General features: G+C 46.0%; 2 protein-coding genes across 31 annotated transcripts in view; one reads left to right on the top strand and one right to left on the bottom strand.

The window, feature by feature from the left end:
* MTERF4 (mitochondrial transcription termination factor 4) overlaps positions 1–14,596 on the top strand; it is a 59,702-nt gene that overhangs the window by 5,132 nt on the left and 39,974 nt on the right. For 3 of the 13 annotated variants that reach the window (NR_028051.2, NR_028050.2, NM_001330180.2), the window contains 3 exons: positions 2,724–2,879; positions 7,112–7,176; positions 7,791–10,004. Coding sequence is in view for 6 of the 13 variants with exons in the window: in NM_001330180.2 (NP_001317109.1) it covers positions 2,724–2,879; positions 7,112–7,176; positions 7,791–7,808 (239 nt within the window). In the remaining 7 variants the exon portion in view is untranslated. Of the gene's footprint in view, positions 1–717; positions 2,880–7,111; positions 7,177–7,790; positions 10,005–11,780; positions 12,491–14,596 lie in introns of those variants that run through there. The other 10 variants (XM_047443428.1, XM_047443427.1, NM_001330179.2 and 7 more) reach the window with 8 other exon arrangements.
* The window catches only part of SNED1 (sushi, nidogen and EGF like domains 1), a 97,919-nt gene continuing 84,910 nt past the window's right edge, over positions 1,588–14,596 (bottom strand). For 9 of the 18 annotated variants that reach the window (XR_002959254.2, XR_002959256.2, XR_002959257.2 and 6 more), the window contains 2 exons: positions 8,754–9,764; positions 1,588–5,518 (listed from right to left, as the gene is read on the bottom strand). Coding sequence is in view for 9 of the 18 variants with exons in the window: in XM_011510931.3 (XP_011509233.1) it covers positions 8,755–8,791; positions 9,681–9,764 (121 nt within the window). In the remaining 9 variants the exon portion in view is untranslated. Of the gene's footprint in view, positions 5,519–7,743; positions 9,765–14,596 lie in introns of those variants that run through there. The other 9 variants (XM_011510931.3, XM_011510932.3, XM_047443885.1 and 6 more) reach the window with 2 other exon arrangements.

Below are 14,596 nucleotides of genomic sequence, written 5' to 3'. Positions count from 1 at the left end.
GTACCGTGATTAGTGTAGTAACAGCAAGTTTCTCAGGTTTTTCAAATGTAGTGAAGGTCAGTTATATGGATAAGAAGCCTCGGACACCTCATATTTGAGTGGAGGAAGTGAAAGACTAGATTCTCTGCATACATCAGCCAAAGAGAAATCTTTAATTTCTTTACTACAGATCAAACCTATTCTTCAACTTTTCTGCCATTAATAATGAATGATCCAGTCCTATTCTTAGAGTCTAAGTGGGGACTCTGAAATAGCTAATTTTAAAATAGCTGAAACCTTCCTGTCCTTAGAATCTATTTTGCATGTTGATTTTGAAAATGTAATTTTAACAGTTGTCCGATTTTTTGGTAATAATTATGACAACTTAGGTCGAATTTCTAGATGTTTTCTGAATGTTTTGCCTATTCTTTCCATATTCATCCTTTTCCTTCCCCATTTAAAGAAAAATACCACCTCTTCCTTCTGCCCCTTCTCCCTCCTGCCCCTTTTCCCTCCCACCCCTTTATTTCCTGCTCCATGTTTCTCAGGATGAATTTGAAAGTGTTTTGAAACTGCTGGCTGTCACACAAATGTCAGTATCCTAGACTGGGTATTCGCTGTTGTCAATTAGGCAATTCTTTTTGAATCCTTTTGTACAACTTAAGTTTTTATGGTTTATAGAATGATAGGTTTCAATACTCTGTATCTGGGACTCCTAAGTGTGTTTGTGTCTTCCAGTATGCATACTTCAGGATGGGAATTAAGCATCCAGACATTGTAAAGAGTGAGTACTTGCAGTATTCACTAACCAAGATTAAGCAGAGACACATTTACCTGGAGCGCCTGGGACGGTACCAAACCCCTGATAAGAAGGGGCAGACACAGATCCCTAACCCATTGCTCAAGGACATTCTCAGAGTTTCAGAAGCTGAGTTTTTGGCCAGGACAGCCTGTACTTCTGTTGAGGAGTTTCAAGTTTTTAAGAAGCTCCTGGCTCGGGAGGAGGAGGAGTCTGAGAGCAGCACATCTGATGACAAAAGGGCAAGTCTGGATGAGGATGAGGATGACGATGATGAGGAGGACAATGATGAGGATGACAATGATGAGGATGACGATGATGAGGACGACGACGAGGCGGAGGACAATGATGAGGATGAGGACGACGACGAGGAGGAATAGCTGTGATGGAAGGACTAGAGCGAAAGGGCCCAGAGATATCAAGGAAGCTTTTCATTCTCTTAAAGCTTTTGGGTCCTTTACTTGAATCTTCTCAAGTTATTTTTTATTCTAAAACTGGTCTCTTGATGAAAAAAATTATAAGTCACCTGAGAGGCAGACAGATCAAACCAAACAGGAAACAGGAAATGCATGTTTGATCTGTTGTCACGTGTCTGTGGGGAGGGCCCTGTCCCATCCTGAATAAGATACTTATGTTGAGCTATTCACATCAAGGGGACTCAATATATCAACAATTGGTTTTATTTTTTTCTCTTTTGAATATGTTGGTGATAATTCCGTGACAGTTGGAAGATGGGGTTCATTCTTCCGGTTCAGGAATCACTATGTATTTCCTTCTTGTGATAAAAATAAAATTACGAGAAGGCAATGTGAGGTTTTAGTACATCATAGCACTTTATTTTATGAAAACATGTAGCAGATTTTCCACAAAAATGCTTATTTTTAATCCAAAAGTATATTGCTTCATAATGGTATTCAGTGCACAGCAGAGTAAAAGAAGTTAATTCATGATGTACTGGTTAATTTTGCATGGCTTCTTAAGGCCAGCAAAATGCTGGCAGTTTTCTTTATCTTTGTGAAGAACAGGCCCTTCCTGTTTGGGGAAGTTGGCTTTTATGTCAGCTCTTGGCCAGTGGTCACTTCCAAGCCTGGTGTCTCCGGCCCTGTAGTCTGTAGTGCCAGACTGTGCTGGCCTGGAGAGTGCTGGGGCAGGTGGAGGCCAGGGAATGGTCCCATACAGTTATCTCCCCTGCCCTGGTTACAGACAGCTTCGAGAACCAGAGGAGAAGAGCATAGGGTCATGGAGCAGGTGGGCTGAAGCCAGGGCCACAGGGAGCAATCCGTGACCCCCCAAGGTGGGTGTGGGGGGGGGGGGGGGCGTGTCACCTTAGGGAACTCAATGAGTCCGAAGAACAATTTGAAATGTTGGGAAAAGAGAAGAGGAATTTGATGTCAGCCGGGGTGATCCCTGAGATAGAGGCCTGTCTCTGATGGCATGAGCTCTAAGAGGGTCCTGGAGGATTGGTACATCCTAGAACATTCCAGTTAGCCCTCTTTTAGGGGAAACTGGCATAGGATTGATGCAGAAGGCATTTTTGATGATGGGACCAAAATTCAAGTCTCCTTGGTAGCATTCTAGGATCAACTAGATCCTAGGATCTGGTAGATTGTAGGATTCTAGTGGGTAGAGGCCAGGGGTGCTGTGAAACATCCTGCAGTGCACAGGATGGTCCCACAAGAGAGGATGATCCGGCCCAGAATGTCAGTGCTGAGCCTGAGAAACTCATCTAAGGCCTGGTCCACAACAGTAATGTGACTGTTCACTCGTGACAACTTCAGATGGTAAATGGACTTAGGATCGTATTATTTTATTTAAAAGAAAAATAAGGAGCTGGTTTTTCAGCCGGGTTCCTTTCCCCTATGCACTGGAATACCCCTGGTAGGTGTGAGCTGCATGCAATTGTGGGGATTCAGCACTGAAATCTAGGTGCTTTTGTTTTCTCCAGCAGCCTCGTCTTACAGCGTGACTGCAAAGAAAAAGACTTTTGTTTTGCAAAAGAAAAGCAGCTCGGTGACTCCGTCCACATCGCCACAGTTGAGTCAGATGGCAGTGGCAGTCCTTTGCCAGTGGAAGGAGTTCCTGCTAAGGGGAGGTGCAGGAGGTGAGCTGATACCTGAGTGGGGCCCTTGCCTGTTGGGTTCTCTACTGGAGGACAGTGGGCACAGCAAAGATTCCCTTACTTGTACCTGGCAGCCCACACGCAATGGGGAAAAGGGAGAGTTTGTCTTTATTGCCTTGCTTGGCCATAGGCAAAACTGTTTGGAAATGAGACATTTCACTGTGCCAGTGTTTTCATTTTCTCTTCCATTGTGGCATCCCGGTCACTGCCACCCTCCCTAGAACCTAGGCTGTTGTTGTACCCAGTCGGAGGACTAAGTAGAATCCTCAGTCTGCACTTGGTTAGATGATCAGTCCATCCCGGTTTCATTAGCAGATGGGTAATTCAGCAACTCAGGATTGCTTCTTTCATTTTGATACAGAAATCTTTATGCTCCTGACAGTTTTCTGATTCTATTATTACTAATTTCCTTGGGTGGACTTTGAGTATTTTCAAGGAAGCCATTTGAGTTTTTAAAAGAAGCCACATGGGAAAAGCTGTGGTGGCCTCTTTGGAATGTTTCAAGAACGAACTGTAATTCCTGAGCACCAGGAAGTCTTTTTACTTGATATTTAATGTGGAAAACATCCCAATGGGCAAGTCCTGTGACAGCACTTGGGACTCAGGAGCCAGTTCTTGTTGACACAAGGCTTCTAAGCTAACACTGGAGCATATTAGCATTTGCTGTGTGGCACCAAGCTTGGGACTCAGGAGCCAGTTCTTGTTGACACAAGGCTTCTAAGCTAACACTGGAGCATATTAGCATTTGCTGTGTGGCACCAAGCTTGGGACTCAGGAGCCAGTTCTTGTTGACACAAGGCTTCTAAGCTAACACTGGAGCATATTAGCATTTGCTGTGTGGCTGAGGGGCTTGAGGTCCTAGTAGGGAGTAGAAAGTTTCCTAGTAGGATTCACCTACTTTTCCAGTGATATCACTCGATCTTAGCATCTGCTAGTAATGCTGTAGCTTACATGGACAAACAGTGACAGGTCCCAGGGCGGCAGGAAGTCCGCAGTACGCGTTTGTGAACGTGGTTTCTCTCAGTTCACCCAGTGACCCTTCGCTGAGCTCGAGACCCTTCATTGAGCTCCACCTTCTGCTCTCAAGTGGGTCTGGAGCCTGGGGAACAGCTCGGGAGTACAGGTGAAACTTCGCGAATTGCCTGTTCCTTCTTTCTGAAAATGACAAATTGCAGAATACACAGACACATGCACATGAAATTTTAATAAAGATAAAAAGCCTAAAATATACTCTAACTCTTCAAAAAACATTTTTATGAAAGAGGAAAGGAAGGAGGCCCTCTTTGTGGCTGGAATGCTGGCTCTGAGCAGAGTCAGGGTGACGCGGCAGGGCGCTGGCTTTCCAGCTGGGTCAGCGGTCGTGAGGCTCAACACGAGAGGAGGTGGGGTGGCTGCTTTGGTTGTAACATTAGCAGGGGGAAGACAGCTGCTTAGAAGCATGGTGGGAAGCAGATGTGGTGAAGTGCCGTACTGTTCTGCTTACAAAGATGGGGATGTCTAAGATCGTGTTTACTACCTGATAGCCTAAAACAGTATCACTTGAGTCATGGACTAAAAGGAACCTTAAACATTGTCCAGCCCAGCCCAGGTGTCCATCTCTGTTGCACTGAGACTTGTAAGGCGTCCTTGCTGCTTCGTGGCAGTGTGCCTTAGCTTTCCAAGCAGGGGTCTGAATAGCTTTTTCCATGAAAATTCAGGGGTCTTTCTTTGATACCCTTGTGACTTGTCATTCAGGGGATGGCTTCCACTGTTTAAGGCTGAAGCCTAGGTGATCTCATAGAACAGGGTTCACCAAATAAGGCCCATGGGCCAATTTGGCCACCACCTGTTATTGTAAATAAGTTTTTATTGGAACATAGCCGCAGCCATTCAATGACATGCCTGTGGCTGTGTCTGCGCTACTGTAGCCACAGGGACCTCTGGTCTGCAAAGCTGAAAACGTTTACCGTCTGACCCTTGATAGAGAAAGGCTGCCAGTCGCGCCGTTGTCTAAAAAAGTCTGAACTCCACCTTAGTGTTAACTAGTCCATAGGATGGCTCGTCGACCTGCACGAGCGTCATAAACACGCTGGAGGACCAGAGCAGGGGCGGCTGTGTCTGCAACCCGGCTTTCCTTCTGACATCACCTGGTCTCTGCCCTTCAGCCCCTGCCCCCGTCTCTGTTTTGGAAGTGGTCCATCACAGTTCCTTCTCAATTTGTTGGGCCTCGAAGGGAGAATTCTTTCTCTGGCTTTGGAGTCTAAGAACAGGTTTCTGCATACTGCAGAAGCGTGGCTGACTGACAGCCTCACTGATTCCGGGGAATGGCGAGCTGTCATCTCATCCGCAGAGACACAGACTACACCTTCAGGAACTGCAGCTTGGGTGAGGGCACAGGCTGCTTAAACGCATCGCAGGACTCACAGGTGGTTGGTCCCAGAGGGGTCTCTCAGGGTGGGCTGGTGTGTGCACAGGCCTGGCCATCTGTCCTCTAGAGGCCTGAGGAGAGAGGTCACAGAGGGGACTGACTCCAGCTAGGACCTTTTCTCAGGGTGTCCTTTTTCATCCAGTTTTTAGACCTCATCTTCCTGGGTGTTAGAAACTCGTGAGGTTGGTGGAGTGTAACAAGAACGTCTTAAATCCTTTGAAGAAAAAACAAAGTGAAGCATGAGGAGAATGACAGGCATTCCCACTCCTCTTTAAATGGGCTGCTTCCTGCTTCTCTTAGTGGCCCTCAGGGCCTCTGTCACCCAGAGGACCCCACGTTCTTAGAGCACCAGGATTCTACCATATGGCAGTGCACACGGGGAGGACCCCGCGTTCTTAGAGCACCAGGATTCTACCATATGGCAGTGCACACGGGGAGGGGCAGCCTCCACCGACTACATCCCCATCTTTAGGAACATGTGGGCTCAGCATTGCAACTTTTAAATGTGAAATCACAGCCTGTTCCTCTTCCCTGCCCTCCTCCTTCCGGTAACGACTCTGGGTCTTTTCTCCAAGGGCACAGCTGTGTCAGGTTGCTCTGGGTTGAAATGAATTCTCGTGTTGTTCTTGGATGGGTGTCTGGGTGCGTGTGTTTCTGTTTCCTGCTTTTTTGTGTGTTGTCTCCATTATTTCAAGAATAGGTATTCTATAAGTCAGTATTTGATAATTAGTTGGGGGTTTCTGATTTGTTTTTATGGGAGTGGATGTGCTAGGCAAGCATTTAAAAAGATACATTAATATTTCAGGTGACTTACCACCGTATAAATATCTCAAACCCAAATTATGTTTGTGGATTCTTAATCCTAGTACAGTTAGGCACTGCACGATGAAGGACCGCGCGCATGACAGTGGTCCCATGAGATTACAGTGGAGCTGAGGTCATAGCCATCGTACAGAATTCTTTTTTCTTTTTTTTTTTTTTTTGAGACAGAGGGTCTTGCTCAGTTGCCTAAGCTGTAGTATAGTGGCGCAATCTCAGCCCACTGCAACCTCTGCCTTCCAAGTTCAAGTGATTTTCCTGACTCAGCCTCTTCAGTAGCTGAGATTACAGGTGCCCACCACCATGTCTGACTAATTTTTGTATTTTTAGTAGAGACAGGGTTTCATCATGTTGGCCAGGCTGGTCTCGAACTCCTGGCCTCAAGTGATCCGCCGGCCTCGGCCTCCCAAAGTGCTAGAATAATTCTTTTTGTGTTTGTGGTGATGCTGGTGTATACAAACCTACTGCACTGCCCTGTGTATAGAAGTCTAGCACATACAATTATGTAGAGTACATAATACTTGATGATAATTTGTGATGTTACTGGTTTACGTATTTACTATACTCTTCATCATTATTTTAGAGTGTACTCCTTCTACTTATGAAAAAAAGTTAACTATAAAATGGCCTCAGGCAGGTCCTTCAGGAGGTTTCCAGAAGAAGGCATCATTGTCACAGGAGGTGGCAGCTCCATGTGTGTTACTGGGACACGATGTGGAAGTGGAAGAAGGTGACATGGATGATCCTGCCCCTGTGTAGGCATAAGCCAATGTGTGTGTTTGTGTCTTAGTTTTTAACAAAAGTTAAATAGTAAAAAACAATTAAAAATTTTAAAAACAGAGAAAAGCACTAAGGACAGAAAACAATTTTGAACATCCGTACAGTGTGTTTGTATTTTAAGCTGTTATTAAAAAGAGTTAAAAAGTAAAAATTAAAAATGTATAAAGTAAAAAAGTTACAGTAAGCTAAGGTTAATTTCTTATTGCAGGACTAATTTATTATTGTGCAACTGCCAGTCCTGCGCATTCCAGCTACGCTAAGCGCCCTGCCCAGGTATACCATTTTTTATCTTTTATATCTATTTTTACTGTAGGTTTTCTACGTTTAGATACACACACACTTGGCACTGTGTTACGACCGCCTACAGTATTCAGTAACACGCTGTGGTGTGTAGCCCGGGAGCATGGGCTCTGCCACACAGCCTAGGTGCGCAGTACGCGGTGCCATCTAGGTTTGTTCTAAGTATGCGCTATGATGTTCGCCCAGATGAAATTGCCTCACAAAGCATTTCTCAGAATGCATCTCCATTGTTAAGTGATGCTCGGCTGTAGGAAATTGCTTACAAGCCTGGAGTGTGCTTAGTGTGTGTGTCTTTGGAGGGTGAGGTGGGAGCGGGAAGTGATTCCCTCGAGTCAACAGGAAGTGAATGCTGCCGGCTACTCTCTTATGGAGAGACTTTCCACATCCGAAGAGGCAGATGCATGCACTCTGTCATGGCCAACTCAGAGCTCAAGTTCCTGCCATGTGCGGAGCTCCGGCCCAGACCTTTCCCCCAAGGGGGTGTGGACACTCTTCCTTTGGTGTGTGTGAGCCTATATCTGAAAAGCTGTTTTGCTTCTGTTTGTTTTTAAAGGTTCCTGAATGACATTTCTCCTTTATTTTTTTAGGCACGTAACAAAACATAGACCTGTTTTGAAGTGGCTTGTTACCCAAGGGTGCCTCACTCATCTGCGCCACCAGGAAGATGAACTGTGAGGGCTCCTATAAGGGGCAGGAAGAGCAAAGCTGTCCTAGGCCAACCAGAGATTCATCTTTCATGCAGTGACATGTTGATAAAAAATGATGGTCAGTATGAAACTGGTAACAGGTTGTAGATGGCTTTCTATGGTATATCCCAGTCTCTTGCAAACGATTGTGAAGAATGCCAGTGTTGTTTAAGATTCGGCAGTTTGTGTGGGGAGGTGGGGGCAGGATGGGGTTTGGTTGCCAAAAGAGTTTGGGAAATGCTGGCTTAAACAAAGGCGAGAGGAAGTTCCTTTCACGTCAGGATTTATGAATGCCTATGAGCCCAGTGTCAGTGACGACTTTCTAGCGGCGGTCTTCAACACTTTCTAAATATTAAGCGATCAAGGCCCCTGCCCCACTTTTAGTTCCAACAGAATGCCGTTCACAAGATCTGGGAGGCACTCTCTCAGCCCTCTCCTGGAGCCCCCGGAATTTCTCAGCAGCCCAGGCCCTCCCGCTGCCCGTGGCCCCTCCTCCCAGGTGCCAGGTGGTCTTCCAGCCTCTCCAAGGGCCCACCCCCCTGCCTCTTCCTCCCACTGCAGCTGATCTAGGGGTTTCTTGGCCACATTTCCCTTGAGAGAGAGTGGGATTTGCCCTATCCACAGAGAGCCTCATTTCCACCTGAAGGTGTATTTGTCAGTGGCTAGACCAGGTTCATGTCTGTTTCCCCTTGGGGACTTCTGAACCTTCCTGCCCGGGAGTCTGTAACACAGCAGCACAGGACCGCGCTTCCTTTAGCAGTGCTGAGTAAGCAGGCAGCGGCACTCTGAGATCCCGGGGCTGGGCAGTCGCCCCCCACTTCCCAGCAGCTCTGTGGTAGTGGGGCGGGAGCAGCAGGGACGTACCTTAAGATTTCTCCAGTGTCTGACTCTTACTTTGTTTCCTGAAATAATTAGAGAAAAGTCGTTTAATGAAAAAGAGACTGTGTACCTTGAATTCTACAGCTACCTCAGTCCAGGCTGCCTGCTGAGATCCTGTCTTTAGCTCACATACATTCCACGGTGGGGGACACCATTAGTCCAGACACCGCTGTGGAGATTAGCATTTTAGTTTGTGTGCGCCCGCCTGGCTTGAGGCAGTAGTTTAGGAATGACAAGGCTAGAAACCTGGCTGGCTGTGAGTCAGAGAGAGAGAGGATGGACGTGGGAGAAAGCAAGCAAAAGCTACCCTAGGGAAGAGCCGGTGACGTGCACAGGCCGAGCAGCACGGCTGGTGAGCTGCAGGCTGCGGCCTTGCCCGGACACTTGGTAATGCCAAACAAGTACGTGTGGCTACTCATTGGTCTATGAGGACGATGACAGGCTTCGACTCTGTGGTTTCTAAAGCATATAATATTCTCACGTACTTCTTTCAGCAAACGCCAAACAGTAGTAATTCTTGTAACTACCTTGAACCCTTTGTGGAAAGAACCTGGGTGTGAGTGAATAAAAAGTAAAGAGCGACGCGCTATATCGGCCATTAAATACTCGGGGCTGTCCGTAACACCCTGTGCTTCCCAATTGTAGCACCATGTTCTGTGTGAATATGCATAACCAGAGTGACCCCCCCCAGCACCCAGCATGCCCGGCTGTGCCCCTCTGGGTATGCTCACATGCACATATATGGACATACAGTTTCGTAGCAGAACGTGGCTGCCCAGGGGCTGCCTATCTGGGCGAGTAGACCGCCTGGCTCAGCCCACAGGCCTGCAGCATCCCATAGCACCCCGCCCTTGCCCCATCACCCTGTGGGCTACATGCAGGACACGGCATGGGCCTGCTCCCCAGAGGCACCTGTTTGGGGTCTTCTTGAGGCTTGTGCTTTCACAGCTCTCTTTGAAGCAGATGTCTTGGTGAACTCGGTAGACTCTTTTATACCTGTTGTCACAAGAAAGCTTTGTAAAACCAGACAGTGAAGCAAAATGTTGCCAACTGCTTAACCTAGGCTATGTGAACCCACAGTAAACCTGAAGGTGTTTGAGGGAAAAACTGCTATTTTCTGAATGAAACGTGACCTCCTATTGATGTATTAAAATGTCTAACATAAAGGTCATGTGATTTGTAATAAATTTATTGTGGTACAGTAATATGCATAAAATAAACCCATTTTAATGTGCATTCTGATGAGCACTGACAAAGGATATGGTACTAAAAATAAAATGTGAAATGTCAAAGACATGTCAGTGCTAGAGGCAGCCACCTGGCCGGAGGCCTGGGGAAGGTATGGCCTCGCTTTTCTGTTTTTCTGGGTATTTCACAGAGAAGTTTGAGGAGTGTTGGGGATTCGGGATTCGGATGTAGGCATTGTAGAACAGGAGACCCGATTTCATCTCCTGCCTCTTCCATTTATTAACCAGGCTACTTTGAGCAAGTCTCTTCAAGTTTTAAGCCTCGGTTGCAGGTAAAAATGGGACCTACTCATACCATCTCTCTTACAAGTTTGTAGATAATAATGGATGGGAAGGCGTTTTGTCTTTTGTTAAAGTTCTCAAATGTCAGAGCTGTTTAAAAGGGAAATCCAAGGAGTTCAGCAGGCAAAGCTCCAACTCATATGCTAAGTCTCATAGAACCTTTAGGATCGAAAACCTGTGGTAAGACTTCCATTTCTGGACATGAAAGAGTAACAGAATCTGGAATTAACCTCCCAATGTGAACAACCAGAGAACTGGACAAAATATAGTAAGTAACTGTATGTCAGATGTTAGAAAACAGACAACACGAGACTGTAATCCCTGAGAGAGGAGAAACAGATGAGATGAGTCCTGTGGTCAGCCTGGAATTCAGCCTAGAGAAGTTTTTGGATGGCATCACAGAGAAAGGGGATCCAAGCAGTGGTCACACTGAGTTGAGGAAACAGAGATTGAAGTTGGGGAGACAGAGGCAGCTGGAATTTGTGGGGCAGTACTGAAGAGGAGGGAACTATGCAGAGGAGGAACTCCAGAATCTGTGTAGGGTCCCCTTGGGCCTGTGGTTGGAAATAAAGCTGTGCATGCATAGGGTGAATCCCCACAAGGCAAAGAAGAACTACTGAGGAGTTGAACGATTTCCAGAGCCAGAGTAGAGAGATCTTGTTTATTAGGCCATCCATAGAAACCCCAGACAGGGCCAGGTGCGGTGGCTCACTCCTGTAATACCAGCACTTTGGGAGGCCAAGGCGGGCCGATCACTTGAGGTCAGGAGTTTGAGGCCAGCCTGGCCAACATGGTGAAACCCTGTCTCTACTAAAATACAAAAATTAGCTGGGCATGGTGGTGAGTGCCTGTAATCCCAGCTACTTGGGAGTCTGAGGCAGGAGAATAGCTTGAACCCAGGAGGGCGGAGGTTGTAGTGAGCTGAGATCGCTCCACTGCACTCCAGCCTGGGCGACAGAGCAAGACACTGTCTCAAAAAAAAAAAAAAAAAAAAAAAAGAAACCGCAGAAAGGCCATGCCATAGAACTAGGGCAAAATTAACCCCAGAATAAAGGCTACTCCAAAGCCACCTAAAACAAGCCTCAGAAGGATCAAACTATACTCAGATAATGCCTTGCAGAGAAAAAACATTCTTGAAAAGAAAACAAACAAACAAACAAATCCAGCGTCAGTAACATAAAACTTACAATGCCCAGCATCCAATAAAAAACTATAAGACATTCAAGAATCATTTGAATAATCAAAAAAGTGACCCATAACCTAGAGAAAAATAATCAAATAGAATAAGACCCAGACATGAGAGTGATGACAGAAATAGCAGATGAGGACCTTAAAATATCTATTATAAATTTGTTCCACATGTTCAGTGAGCTAAAGGAAAATATAAAGATAATGAAGATAGAAATTGGAGCATCTAAGAAACAACTAAATGAAACTTCTGGAGATGATAAAACACAGTATTAATAAAACTTTTGTTGAACAGGATTAATGGTAGATGCTGCAGAAGAAAAGATCAATGACCTTGAGTGCATAGCAATAGAATCTGTCCAAAATGAAAAGACTGAAAAAGTTGAGAAGAGCTGCAGTGACCTGTGGGACAATATCAGTCTAATACACGCATAACTGGAGTCCCAGAAGTAGAAGAAATGGAGGGACAGGAAAAATATATGAAGAAATAATGGCAAAAATTTTACGAAGTTTGACAAAATTAAAACCCAGAAATACAAGAAGCTTAAACTCCAGAGAATCAAAACGTAGCCATACCGAGAAGCACATCATAATTAAATTGTCCAAAAACAGTCATAAAGGGAAAACATAAAAGGGGCAGGAAGACACATTCCATACAGTGTAACACAGGTAAGAATGACTGCAGTCTTCTTGTCTGGAACTATGCAAGCCAGAAGACAAAGCCATGACAACTTTTAAGTCATGAAAGAAAAAAATATAACTGTCAATCAAGAAGTCTATATTCAGCAAATATATTCTTCAAAAATGAAGGTGAAAAAAAAATAGTTTCAGACAAAAGCAGAGAGAATTCATCTCCTGCAGACCTGTGCTATAGGAGATGTTAGAGTTAAGTTCTTATGGCAAAGAGAAATGATACCAGATGGAATCCTAGATCTACAAAAAGGAATGAAGAGTGCTGGAGTCGGCAGGCAGATGTACAATAAATACAAAATACTTTACTTTCAATATCTAAAACAAGATAATTTTTGAGTGCAAAAATAACGTATAGTGCAGTTCACAGCATATGTGGAAGGAAAAAGTCTGATAATAATTCAAAGGATGGGAGGGAAGTGGAAGCTTGATGTCAGCCGCTGCCATGGATACTGAAGTTGTCTACTAGTGATTAAAGGTATGCGGCGTGAAGTTGAAGATGTGTATGGTAAATCCTAGACACTGCTGGCCGGGCACAGTCACTCACGCCTGTAATCCCAGCACTTTGGGAGGGCAAGGTGGGTGGATCACCTGAGGTCATGAGTTTGAGACCAGCCTGGCCAACATGGTGAAACCCTGTCTCTACGTAAACTTTGTCTCTACTAAAAATACAAAAATTAGCAGGGTGTGGTGGCAGGCGCCTGTAATCCCAGCTACTCGGGGGGCTGAGGCAGGAGAATTGCTTGAACCCAGGAGGCAGAGGTTGCGATGAGCCAAGATCGCACCATCGCACTCCAGCCTGGGGGACAAGAGGGAGACTTTGTCTCAAAAAAAAAAAAAAAAAAATCCTAGACGCTGCCATCATATTGAACTCGTACAATAGTAATTAAGGGTACATTGTGTTAAGGTGAAGATGTGTATGGCAAATCCCAGAGCAACCTCTAAACAATAAACCTAAGAAGTATAACCAGTAAGCCCATAGTGGAGACAAAATGGAATCCTAAAAAGTAATCCAAAATTAGGCAGGAAAAAAGAAAAAAGGAACAAAAAGCAGGTGGGAAAAATAGAAAACAAATAGTAATATGGCAGTTTAAATCCAACCACATCAGCCATTATGTGGAAGGTAGTAAATGGTCTAAATACTCCAATAAAAACCAGACTGTCAGACTAGATATCCAGCAAGACCCACCTCTATGTTAAATACTAGAAAGTCACTTGAAATATGCAGATAGGTTAAAAGTGAAAGGATAGAATGCTTTCAGGAAGTGAAGGGTCTTCTTGTTGGATACTTGGTGGTCACCAGCAGGCACTGGTGTAACTAAGCACAGCGGGAAGATGGCAGATACTGTGGATTCGGACTCTCACTGCATAGAATCCGAATTCAGTGGGCTGTCAACACGGCTTCCCAAATCCCAACACAGATTAGTATCTCATATGTGTTCCTGCTACATATTACACCTGGCTTCATGTCCAAGCTCTAATGAAGCTTCTACCCTTGCCCGTCTACATCCCATTCTCCACAGAGCATCCAAAGTAGTGTAATCGAACATGTCACTCTTCTGCTCAGAACCCTTCAGTAGCTCCTCCCCATTTCATGCCGGACAAACACCAGAGTCCTTCTGTGGGTCTCCATGGCCCCGAGGGTTCCCTGTCCCTCACCTCTCACCACTCTCCACTTCTCCCCCAACATGCCAGGGACACTCCTGACTTGGGGCCCTGGTAACTGTCCTCTGGCTCTGGAATGTCCATCCCTCCTCCATGTCTGTTCAGCATCGCCCTCCCCAGGAGGCTGCCCTCTTGCTGCACCAGCCCTGCCCATCCCCAGCAGGCTCTCCTGGTCTCGTCCTGTCATCTCGTCCTTTTTCCCTTTGCACTCACCACCTGCCACACCACACACCACACTCTCACTGCTGTCTGTTGTCTGTCCCCTCATCTGCAATGAACGGGTCCTGAAGGCAGGGCTTTGGTCTGCTCTGTTCTGATGTGTGCTGAGTATCTAGAACAGTGCCCGGCACACAGCAGGTACTCAGTAAGTCATCTGTTGACTAAATGGACAGTGCCCGGCACACAGCAGGTGCTCAGTAAGTCATCTGTTGACTAAATGGACTGTGTGACCGACAGAGTCATAGAGTGTTAGCAAGAAAGGACCTAAGAGATGGGCTGGGCATCTCTCCCTCCACAGCCCATTTTGGAGATGGGGGGCCTAAGGCCACATCATGAGTTAATGGCAGAACTGGGGCCGGCATTCTCATGAGCTGTTTGTTTTTCCAGGGGGCTCTGAGGAAGAGAAGAGAGGAAGGTCACATCAGTTGGCTCTGCCATCCAGTGGGGACTGGGCTGATGTGTGGGAAGGAAGGCCTGGGGGCCTGGGGACCAGGAGCCTGCGTTCTTCTCAGCCCCTGCTCCTGAGCTGCATGGACT

Source organism: Homo sapiens, chromosome 2 (assembly GCF_000001405.40).
Source record: "Homo sapiens chromosome 2, GRCh38.p14 Primary Assembly".
NCBI lineage: Eukaryota > Metazoa > Chordata > Mammalia > Primates > Hominidae > Homo > Homo sapiens.
Note: the sequence above shows the minus strand (reverse complement) of the source record. Positions and strands in the feature narration are given on the sequence as shown.